This window comes from Homo sapiens, chromosome 6 (assembly GCF_000001405.40).
Source record: "Homo sapiens chromosome 6, GRCh38.p14 Primary Assembly".
Classification (NCBI taxonomy): domain Eukaryota; kingdom Metazoa; phylum Chordata; class Mammalia; order Primates; family Hominidae; genus Homo; species Homo sapiens.
Window position 1 is genome coordinate 89,157,139 of NC_000006.12, and position 12,250 is coordinate 89,169,388.

Genomic DNA, 12,250 nt, shown 5'->3' on the forward strand with positions numbered 1-12,250 from the left:
CAGGCTGGTCTCAAACTCCTGGGCTCAAGTGATCCTCGTGCTTTGGCCTCCCAAAGTTCTGGGATTGCAGGTGTGAGCCACCTTGCCTGGCCTAAATCTATATTTTAAATAATCTTTTAGTAATTTCTTATATTTTGGCTGACTTGTAAGGTCTGATTTGGTTGTCATAATTTCTACCGTAGATGTTGCTAAGAATAAAAGAAATGTCATCTCTGCCATTTTATGATTGGCTTTTGCTAATATTGGTTTGAGGGAATATTGCCAATTTTTATTTAATCAAAACTGAATCTGTAAATCCACTTAACTGGGCACATAAAAGCTGCTTCCGTATCTTTATATACTGAAATTAATAAATGAGGACTGTTGTCAACCCTTCCTCATTGCAAATCTTCTACATTTCCCTCAGAGTACTTTTCTACCTCTCACACCAGGCAGTGATGTCAGTGTCAGTTTGCATATTGAATATTAGTAAAGCTTAATTTCTTTTTTTTGGAGACTGAATCCTAGAGCAGTGTTCCTCAGAGTGTGGTTTTTGGGTCACCTATGTCAGAATTACTTTGAGGTGCTGGTTAAAATAAAAATTAGGCTGGGTGCAGTGGCTCATGCCTGTAATCCCAGCACTTTGGGAGGCCGAGACGGGCAGATCACATGAAGTCAGGAGTTTGAGGCCAGCCTGGCCAACATGGCAAAACCCCATCTCTACTAAAATACAAAAACAATTAGCTGGGCTTGGTGGCAGGCGCCTGTAATCCCAGCTACTTGGGAGGCTAAGGCAGGAGAATCATTTGAACCTGGGAGGCGGAGGTTGTGGTGAGCTGAGATCACACCACTGCACTCCAGCCTGGGCAACAGAGTGAGACTCCATCTCAAAAATAAAATAAAAATTTCTGGGCCCTTCTCATACCCTATCTAGGTGACTGAAGTTGACACTTGGTAGCTAGTATAGAGCTTGGTGACATTGTGGGGTTTAGTGTATATATAGCATAAAAGAGAGTCCTAGGAACTCTCGTTATAGAAAATAAATCTTTTTTCTTTTTTAAGGTAAGAGATTTGAGAGTGTTTATATCTGGAAGGGAAAGTATCTTCTCTTAAAACCTCTTCCTATTAGAGAACAATCACTGGTTTGAAAATTAGATAGTGAATTTGAGTTTTTTATTTCAAAATTTGTTTTGCAATTTTTTATTAGGTGGAAATTAAAGGTGGAGCACATGATTATTACAATGTTCTTCCCAATAAGAGCCTATGGAAAGCCTATATGGAAAATGGAAGAAAGCTAGGAATAGAGTTCATTTCAGAAGATACAATGTTGAATGGCCCTTCAGGTAATTAAGTGTTTTTTTATATATTGAGCTATTTGAGGAAGAGAAATACCATCTTTGGTTAAATTGGTTGTATTTAATGGTTTGGGAGGTCGGGAGGTACTACTGACGTTTTTAATATTTTCACAAACTTTATGGTTAGGGGAAAGAAACTAATGGACTCTTAAGTGAGTGTAGAATGTCAAACGAGCAGACTTGATTTTAGAAATAGTCAACCTACATTTTTGTCTGTATTCTAAATATTTTCTAGTGTTTAAGTTTCGTTAGTTTTAATTTTTAAGTAAGTTGCTAAGGTGGGATATAGAATTTTAATTCATTCTCAGTCATCACAATAAGCAGGTTACTAAGTACTTAGTTATCTGGGGCATTTTCAGTTTCTGAGGAGCAACAGACAGCTAGAATTGAAATAAGCATATTTGGGGTTATGTTAGTTTTTTTTTCCTTTTAAAAGCATATTATTACTAATACATTTGCAAGTTAGAGATGTATCATCTGTTTTAAAAATAGATGTTGTTGAAGTAGGCCCAAAAGGACTTGGTGGTGAAAATGGGGTGTCGGTGTCATTCATTAAGATAAGGAGTTCAAGAGAAAGAGCAGGTTAGGGTAAGAGGGGGTTGTTATAAATTATTAGTATGTTAAACTTGAGGTGCTTATAGTATTTCTAAGTGGAGCTGTTCAGTACCTGTTAAATCTAGAACCCAAAAAGATGTCTAGTTTGGAGATTTAGGAGTTGTCCATATATGAAAGGTATATAGAAGACATAGATGTCGATGAGGTTGCCCAAATACATAGAGGAAGAAGATTCCCAGAGATCAGACATTGGCAGTCAACGAAGTGGTCAGAGAGAAAGCCAGACAATCAGGAGAGAGGAGAAGTCATGGAAGCCAAGGGAGAAGAAAACTTACAGAAGAGAAGGAGGCATAAATCATGTCAAGTGCTGTAGAGACTGAATAAGATGAATATGGTCTAGTGTCCACTGGACTCTAGTAATTAGAAATTCATGAATTGTCTGGAAGAAAATAGTATAAGACCAGTGGTACCAGATGCTGGGTCTCACTTCTCTACCCAGGGCATTGACTGCTGAGATAGTGGAAGTAGCAAATGAAGACTATTCTTTTTCAAGAGAGTTAGCTTTCAAGGAAAATAGAAAGAGTGGATACAAGCTTGAGGGAAATACGGAAAAGAAAATAGTTTTTAAGGGAAGATACTTGAGAAGTAGATGTAATGTTTAGGAAGGAGGTCAGGGAGTTCAGAGACTTTCCCTCTAGGAAGTAGCACACAGTGAGCATTGAGCTGGTAGGGCTGAGGGATTGAGAGAGAATTGCCACTGAGAGGAGTTGTCCAGGGACATCAGAGTTTCATGTTTTCTTTTGTTCTGGACAGCAAGAAAGCTCAGCTCAGCATGGTTCTGTTCTTTTACCCTAGCAGGTTTCTGCTGTCTAGCTGAAGAAGGGAAGACACATGGCCTGCTCTACCCCGGGTTTGGGTTTTATATAATGGACAAAACAGTAGGATAAAGTGGCTGTGATTTTGGTATGATTTGTGGGCTCTAGGGTCTAGTTCCACAAGTAAGATCTTAAAATATGCAACAGGTTTTTTTTTGTCCATCCTTTTTTGTTTTGTTTTGTTTTTACACTCAGACTCTTTAGACTCTTTAAACACTGGAGAGGCTTTTTCCATCCTGTTCACTGATGTCCCATTACTGTGCATCCTCAGTGTGTGGAGCCGTTTCTGGCACAGTTAAGTGCTTAGTGAATATTTTCTGAAGCAGTACTTCTATAGAGGCTACTATGCCTCAAAGTCTGGCCTCAGTCTGCATTTACCACATAACTAGCAGCTGTGAGACTATCGGCATGTTATTTAATACCCATAAGCCTTGGTTTCTTCATGTTTAAAATGGAAACTGTTCTAAATATTAATGAGAATACATACAAAGCACTTAGGATTGTGTTTGGAACGTAGTATTCCAGATAAATGTTAGCTACTCTTTGTCACATATTCCTTTATTCTCTTACCAATCACTGTGTAGTCTCACTTTGCCTGCATGGTGTTTGACATGTAATAAACATTCAGTAAATATCCATTGAGTGAACATAAGGCTTTGTTTTTACTGTGATTTATTCAACAAGTGCCTGTGTGTCAATCCTGTGAGAAGCTAGATGCACAGTCATTTCAAATACTATTTCTTGCCTCATACAGCCTCATAATTTAGTTTCTGACATAAGCATGAACCAAATCATCCAATACATGGAAAATTAAAAAGTACTGTAAAGGAGAGTAATACATCTCTGTGAGAGCTTATGCTAGAGGAATTTCACTTTATGGGAAGGTGAAGTAAGTAAGGCTTTGCTGAGGAAATGATGCTTAAGATGGAATTTGAAGGTTAAGTAAGAGTTACAGAGATGATGCAGGGATAGCATGTGCAAGGGTCCTGTGACAGGGAGAGCATGGTGAGTGTCTAGAGCGGCTAGGGCATCGAGAGTAGTGGGAACATGGTATGAGATCAGGTTGGAAAGGTGAATGAAGATTGAAAAAAAAAAGACGGCAAATAGAGTAGATGCTGCTAGACCAATTAGGAAACTTCTAGTTCAGGCAAGAGATAATGATAGCATAGGCTGAGGACAGGTGTTGGTGATGGTGATGCAAAGAGCGTTAGGATTCTGAGATATTTGGCAGGTACTGTTGATAGGTGGAGTGGAGGTAGAAGAGAAAGATCATGAGTTTGACTTTAGATATGTTAAGTTTGATCTACCTTGAAGACATCCAAGAGAAGATACCAGGCTGGCAACTGGATGTATGAGCATGGAACTTAGCAGAGACTGGGAAGAGATTTGAGTTGGTGGTGATTTGAAGCAATACATACGGACAAAATCTTGAGAAAGAATATGCAGTAAGAAGAGAAAGGGGCCTGGAATGGAGTCTCCCGTAACTATTATTTCATCGTCAGGTAGAGGGGGCTCTATCCCCAAGAGAGACAGAAGAAGGGGCCATCAGAGAGGCAGAAGGGAAGCCATGCAAGTGCTGTGTCACAGAAGAGAAGAAAGGGAGTAGGTGGCAGTGTGGAGTGCTGGCCAAGAGGGCCAGTAAAAGCCGTGAGACAAGGTGAGGGCAGGTTTGCAGTGACCTTCATGAGAGATGTGACTGATACAGGGGAGTGGGTGGCAGACTCAGTGGAAGGTGAGCCCATGAAAGCATGAGCATACGGACAACTCTCCAAGAAGCTCACTTCTCTGCGTCTCTTCTAACAGGGACTGTGACTTCATAACTCCAGAATACTTAACCACATATACTTAAATAGACTTTTCTTAACTTTGTGTGTTCCAAGGATCTACGGATTTTGGAAATGTTAGTTTTGTGGTTCCTGGAATTCATCCATATTTTCACATTGGATCTAATGCCTTGAATCATACTGAACAGTACACTGAAGCTGCTGGTAAGTGTTGTTGGATGTGACTGTTTTGGCACACACACTCTTCTTCTGGTAGTAGCTGCCTTTCTGTTTAACCTACTATTTCACTACATAACATCACCTCAGTAAATACTGCACTGTGGTGGGCAGTTGGAGAGCCAGTTGAGATACGGGTAGCTAACCTGTGAAATTAAATACAGCTTAAATAAGTAAGGAGGTATTTTATTTTCTCTACCTTTTAGGGTCACAGGAAGCTCAGTTCTACACTCTGCGGACGGCCAAAGCTCTGGCAATGACGGCACTGGATGTTATTTTTAAACCAGAGTTACTGGAAGGAATCAGAGAGGACTTTAAACTGAAACTTCAAGAAGAACAGTTTGTAAATGCAGTAGAATAAAAGACTTAGGGGCCACTTATAAATCAAGAAGACGTGATGATTTTTTTCTTTTAATCTCTTTTAATGAAGGCATGCTTGTTTTTTAATCTTAAAGGAGTAAAATTCTTTTTACCTGATAAGTGAGGACAGGGTGTGGAGAAAACATATTAATTACCTCATATCTAAAGTGAAAATTTTTGCAAATCCGTACTTGATAGGATTATGATATTACAGGAGCTGGTATGTGATGCCATTCTTTCTTTTTTTTTACCCCGCAACCACTCACCTTCACAGTAGTGATACCATTTCTTAACCTGGAGGATACATGGCATCATTTTTATAAAATATGTTAGTAAACCTTTTTGTAAGCCTTAAATGTTATGTGTATTTTTAAAAGCTTAAGAGATTTCAAACCTTATATTCAGAATTGACACCCATGAGAGTGTTTTGTGGTATAGGGTGGTAAACTTGTTCTCTAATCGTATATTAATTCCTCTACCAGATTGTATATTTGAAGCCAGTGTCTTTCCTTTTTTTGTTTTAAGATAGAGCCTCGCTCTGTTGCCCAGGCTGAAGTGTAGTGGCACAATCTCGGCTCACTGCAACCTCTGCCTCCCAGGTTCAAGTGATTCTCCTGCCTCAGCCTACCAAGTAGCTGGGATTACAGGTGTGTGGCACCATGCCCAGCTAATTTTTGTATTTTTAGTAGAGACGGCATTTCACCATGTTGGCCAGGCTGGTCTCGAACTCCTGACCTCAGGTGATGCACCTGCCTCGGCCTCCTAAAGTGCTGGGATTACAGGCATGAGCCACCGCACCCGGCCTGCCAGTGTCTTTTTAATACACATGTGTGTTGGTATTTTTAAATTGTTACAGTATCTAGCATATTGCTTACTCTGAATATTCAGTACTTTTTGAATAAGCAAATATTGCTTCCTTGCTTGGAATCATCAGAGTTTAAAGTAGCTTCGTGGATGGACCATGATCCTAAGATGAGTTTTAATTTTGTGTTTACAGTCATCTCTTGTACAACGTGGAGAAGAAAAGATATACTTACTACTTTGCTTCAGGTACACATAAGAAAACCTCTTTTTTAAAAAAATTTTTATTTTTTTACATAATAGAGACAGGGGCTCGCTGTAGCTTCCAGGCTGGCCTCAAACTCCTGGGCTCAAGCAATCCTCCTGTCTTGGCCTCCCAAAGTGTTGGGATTTCAGGTATGAGACACCACACCTGCCCATTTTTGTTTGGTTTTTTAATGGGCAGGTTCTTGCTCTCCCAGGCTGGAGTGCAGTGGTGTAATCACAGCTCACTGCAGTCTCGAACTCCTGGACTCAAGCAGTCCTCCCACCTCAGCCTCCTAAAGCACTGGGATTACAGGCTTGAGGCACTGCACCTGGCCCTGACCATTTTTTAAAAAGGTTAGGCTTAGTGCAAAGTTTAAAATTATATGATTCTTAAAATACTGAATTAGTTTCTAAACTAAACTAGAGGTATAGGTGGACCTGCTTGAGGTATCTTTGTTTTTATGGAACATTTTTATTACATGCCTTTATAATTTTTCATTGTTCACACCCTGTACTGAAACCTTTTTCTCAAATACCAACTCTTGGCTATGTTAAATTTGTAGACTTTAAAAGATGTTATCTAAATTAATGGTTTAAATATACAAATTGAAAATATTTTCTTTTTAGTGGCAATTTTAAAAGCAGGCCTTAATATGGGACCTGCTTTTAAAGTAAAATATGTGGTACTATGAATTACTAAATTGCTATATACCATGTAATAGTGAGTATAGCTAATATTTAGTATGCCTTTTAAAAATTTTGGACTGCTTTTCGGTTTTAACAAATTCTCCACATGTGAACTACTCAAGAAATTTTCCCTTTTTAATTGCCTCTATAGCACTCATAAGAGCTAGGGCATTAGGATAAACTAGAATATTTTATGTTTATGAATACTTGTATAAACTTAAAAGTGTTTTGATTTCCCACAATTTCCCAAAGGAATGTTTATTTATTAAGAGTTGTGTTGATAATTTAACTGTTACAATTTCAGCAGTTGAATTCAGTGAACACTGGTTGAGGAGTGCCTATTTCTAAGCACTGGGTGTAAGAAGAAAAGACACTTGCAAAGGAAGAGCTAAGATTAACATAATTTCTTTGGTTTTTCTATTGCTTGTTATTATTATGTAAAAACTGGGTGGCAGTTCACAAGGAAGATTGTTGTAACAGAAGAGTGACAACCAATAGTTTTTTGATCATTAAATCAAATTTTGTAAACAGTGGCAGGAGCGTGGACTTAAAACAAGGCTTGCTTATTTGGTTTTGTCAAAGTTTTACGAAAATATATGATATATATTTATACTAAAACTATATAATCCTTAGATTTAGGAAAGCAATCAGTTAATGTCTTTAGCACACTAAAGCAGTATTAAACACAGGTACAAGTTGGAAATTGTAGAAAACTGAAAGAAAACAAGACAAAATGTCTATGGTAGGGAATAAAAGAGTTTAAGATATTATGTAAAATTATGTGTATTTTCTTCTCTTTTACATAAATTGTTTGTGAAAAGTGTGCTCAACTTTTTTACAAGAGTGATATTAACTTGGATTTATTTTTCAATATAATTTGGAGACCCTTTGTTATCCAAATAAAATTGATGAGTTTCTGTGCCTGTAAAAAAAAAAAAAAAAAAAAGAAAAGAAAAGACACTGTTGCATGCCCCAGAAAGCTTGTGGTGGGTGGTAAGTTCTCACGAGATTTATTTATCTGAGCAACATTGGGACTGAGGGAACATCTGAAAGCTACCATCTTGAAAATTTTTGAGGAAGTGTTTCTGAAATATTTAAAAATACTTAAGTCAGTCATTTTGAACAAAAGAAATTGATACAATAAGTTTTTTTTTTTAAGGATGATTGTCTAATTTTGTAATATGTTGTTTTTTAAAAACCTGTCTGATGGTGTTTTATACATTTCTAACTTTTTACCTGAGTTATCTCTTTAGTCTTTTGGAAAATACCCTACACAATACTAACCTTTAAAACTATCAAATTTTTGTTATAAGATAAATGTTATCTTTGTACTAGATAGCAACCCTTTATAAGGTTGTAAGGTATAATAAACTGCTTATTTTTTTACATACTTCATATCAAGCATTTTGCAGTCCAATTATATAGTTGAGGATGGTGTATTTTGATATGTATGAAGTTAATATTTTCAAGTAAGCAATCAGTCTACTACCATCAGATTATAAGCTTTTTTGTAATAATAGGTACATAAAATGTGTATGAAAAATCTACAATAAACATGTTTATCTGATAGCAATTGTCTTGCTTTTTTAATGACCTGAAGATATATGTACGAAGATGAAGCACAATCATCCAAATCCATTGTGATATACTATACTTTTTCTTACGCATCAGTATCATAGATGTTGACTTGCTTTTCCACTATGTGTCAAATATTTTAAAAGAACAATTAAGTTCTTTTGTTTAAAAATGAATGTTTCACTAGTCTCAGAAGCTAAAAAATTGCAGTGCAAATTGTACATGGCAGGAGGTAAATACATATAGTATTGAGTTTCCTTTTTTAAAAAAAGTTTACACATTTAATACAGAGTAATTCCATATAATAACATAAATGCAATGGAACAGGTTTTTGGATCCTGGCTAAAGTATAAGTGCCTCATATGAGAAAAGTCACAAATGTCCATGTTTCTTTGTTTAAACTGGTTTTTAATTTTTATTCTTATTTTTGGAGACAGGTTCTCACTGTCACCCCGGCTGGAGTACAGTCAGTGTTGTGATCATGGCTCACTGAAGCCTCATCTTCTAGGCTCAAGCAATCCTGCCTCAGCCTCCTGAGTACCTGGGACTATAGGCATGTGCCCGGCTAATTTTTAAACTCTTTATAGAGATGGGGTCTCAAACTCCTGAGCTCAAGCGATCCTCCTGCCTTGGCCTCCCAAAAGACTAGGATTAGGGCATAAGCCACTGTGCCCAGCCTTAGACTGGCTTTCAAAATAGAGCCCAAATCTGTTCTTTTTAAAAGAGATTAATAGGCCGGGCGCGGTGGCTCACGCCTGTAATCCCAGCACTTTGGGAGGCCGAGGCGGGCGGATCACGAGGTCAGGAGATCGAGACCATCCTGGCTAACACGGTGAAACCCCGTCTCTACTAAAAATACAAAAAATTAGCCGGGCGTGGTAGCGGGCGCCTGTAGTCCCAGCTACTCGGGAGGCTGAGGCAGGAGAATGGCGTGAACCCGGGAGGCGGAGCTTGCAGTGAGCCGAGATCGCGCCACTGCACTCCAGCCTGGGTGACAGAGCGAGACTCCGTCTCAAAAAAAAAAAAAAAAAAAAAGGTTAATATGTAAGATTAGCTTTTGTTAGTTCAATAGATCAAAGCACCTAACCACCTTAAAAGAGAAACCTCAGAAATACAAAACAGAGAAGATTATCAGGTCAGGGTCTTAAGTGGACAATAATCAACTTGTTGAGGTCAGAGAGAGTAGACATTGCCTCCCTGGATGAACAATCGCATTTGGGAGTTTGAATTTTTTTTCTATTTGTTGTGTTGTTGGTCACTGACAACATATTTAGCTCAAGAGAATGGGAAAGAGTTAAAAACTTGCATCTTTTCCATTTGCGTTTATTTAAGATGAACCAAAGCTTCTAAATTGACTCACTGTTATTGCCTGAAATGATAAGGATTCAGGATTAACAGTAGCCTCATGGCATGTCATCTGGTCTGGCACTTTCTTTGAAGAAAGATTATGTGTTAGAGTACAGAAACTTAAAGAGTTTGATTAGAAGCTGAATAAAAATCCTTGAGTATGAATAGTTAAGAGTTTGCTCATTGGGCTGGGCACGGTGGCTCACGCCTGTAATCCGGCACTTTGGGAGGCTGAGGTGGGTGGATCACCTGAGGTCAGGAGTTCGAGACCAACCTGGCCAACATGGTGAAACCCTGTTTCTACTAAAAAAATTAGCTGGGCGTGGTGGTGGGCACCTGTAATCTCAGCTACTCGGGAGGCTGAGGCAGGAGAATTGCTGGAATCCGGGTGGCAGAGGTTGCAGTGAGTCGAGATCGCACCATTGCACCCCAGCCCGGGCCAACAACAGTGAGATTCTGTCTCAATGAATGAATGAATGAATGAATGAAAGTTTGCTCATTGCCTGAGAGCAGGATAGGATGCCAGGAAGTGAACTCAGATGCAGTTGAAACCTAATGCTTTAAACTAATATCCAAGTCCCGTTATCTCTGAACGTGTGTGGCGGTAAATGATTGTTGAGCCATGACGTTTCTTCAGATATGGAGCAGTTACTCACAGCACCTATTTGGTGTGCTTGCCATAGTTTTTGAAGGCTTATAGGTGGGTTGTGTGTTCTTTAAGAAAAAAGATCCCTTGTAAAAATATATAAGAATAGTTTATAGTAGAAAATCCAGGCTGGGTGCGGTGGCTTACGCCTGTAATCCCAGAACTTTGGGAGGCCAAGGTGGGCGGATCACCTGAGGTCAGGAGTTTGAGACCAGCTTGGCCAACATGGTGAAACCCTGTCTCTACTAAAAATACAAAAATTAGCCGGGCGTGGTAGTGCAGTAGTCCCAGCTACTCAGGAGGCTGAGGCAGGAGAATCTCTTGAACCCGGGAGCCAGAGGTTGCAGTGAGCCAAGATTGTGCCAGTGCACTCCAGCCTGAGCAACAGAGTGAGACTCCATCTCAAAAAGAAAAAAGAAAATCCCAGGCAGAAAGAGATTACAACCATGATTAAGCATTTTCTCGAAGCAGATTTGAGACTATGCTTCCCAGCTTCTGATGTTGCCACTACCCCCCACCTACCCTCTGCTACTTTCCTTTTTTATGTTTCTTATTTTTTGTTTGTTTATTTTGAGAAAGGGTCTCACTAGGTCACCCAGGCTGGAGTGCTGTGGCGTAATCAGGGCTCAGTGCAGCTTCAACCTCCTGGGCTCAAGTGATCCTCCCACCTCAGCCTCTGGAGTAGCTGGGGCTCCAGGTGTGCACCACCATGCCTGGCTAATTTTTAAAAAAATTTTGTAGAGATGGGGATCTTACTATATTGCCCAGGCTGGTCTCGAACTCATGGGCTCAAGCAGTCCTCCTGCCTCAGCCTCCCAAAGTGTTGGGATTTCAGATGTGAGTCACTGTTCCTGGCCCCGTCTGCACTTTCTAAATTCTCCTGGCCTAAAGTTCCACTGATGATGATGAGCCCTGGAATTTTGAGGTCAATAATCCTGTAGCTGAATGTCAGAGAAGTCTAATTTTTTTAACAGAATAATTTTAATAATATAATTACATCATTTAAATCAAGTAGCTGATAATGTAATCGCCCAATGGGTTCTCCTTGCCCACTGCCCAGATAGAGCTGATTTATCAAGATGGGAGTTGCAATAGAAAAGAGTTTAATTTACACAGAGCTAGGCTAAACGGGTGAACAGAGATTTAATACTCAAATTAGTCTCCCTGAAAATCTGAAAACTGGGGTTTTTTAAGGCTAATTTGGCAGGTTGGGGGTCAGGGTGGTGAGTGCTGATTGGTCAGGTCGGAGATGCAATCATAGTGGGGCCCGAGTGGGTTCTTGCTGAATTCTGTTCCTGTGTGGGATCACAGAGCTGGTTGAGCCAGATGGAAAATGGGTCTGGGTGGCTCCGGCTGGTGCAAAATGGGTCTGGGTGGCTCCGGCTGGTGCATCAGAATGGGGCTCTGAAGAATACCTCAAGCCCTGATCTTAGGTTTTGCTATAGTGATGTTATCCCTAGGAACAATTAGGGAGGTTCAGGATCTTGTGGCCTCTGGTTACAATGACTCCTAAATGATAATTTCTAATCTTGTAGCTAATTTGTTAGTCTTAACAAAGGCAGCCTGGTCCTCAGGCAAGAAGGGGGTTTGGGAAAGGGTTGTTATCTTTGTTTCAAAGTTAAACTATAAGTTTCTCCCAAAGTTAGTCTGGCTTACACCCGGGAATGAACAAGGGCAGTTTGGCGGTTCGAAGCAAGATGGCGTCAGTTAGGTCAGATCTCTCTCACTGTCGTAATTTTCTCACTTATAATTCTTGCAAACATGGTTTCAATAATACAATCCAGGGAAGTGGGACTTTGTTTTTTAGATTCAGGGGGTACATAT

At 39.5% G+C, this 12,250-nt stretch overlaps 1 protein-coding gene across 7 annotated transcripts in view; it reads left to right on the plus strand.

Annotated features, from left to right (window-relative positions):
• Window positions 1–8,427, plus strand: part of PM20D2 (peptidase M20 domain containing 2) — a 71,626-nt gene extending 63,199 nt beyond the window's left edge. For 5 of the 7 annotated variants that reach the window (XM_047418220.1, XM_047418221.1, XM_011535481.4 and 2 more), the window contains 3 exons: window positions 1,187–1,322; window positions 4,645–4,752; window positions 4,971–8,427. In XM_047418220.1, coding sequence (XP_047274176.1) covers window positions 1,187–1,322; window positions 4,645–4,752; window positions 4,971–5,125 — 399 coding nt within the window. In that variant the 3' untranslated portion in view covers window positions 5,126–8,427. The other 2 variants (XM_017010289.2, XM_047418219.1) reach the window with 2 other exon arrangements.
• The last annotated feature ends 3,823 nt before the right edge of the window (window positions 8,428–12,250 follow it).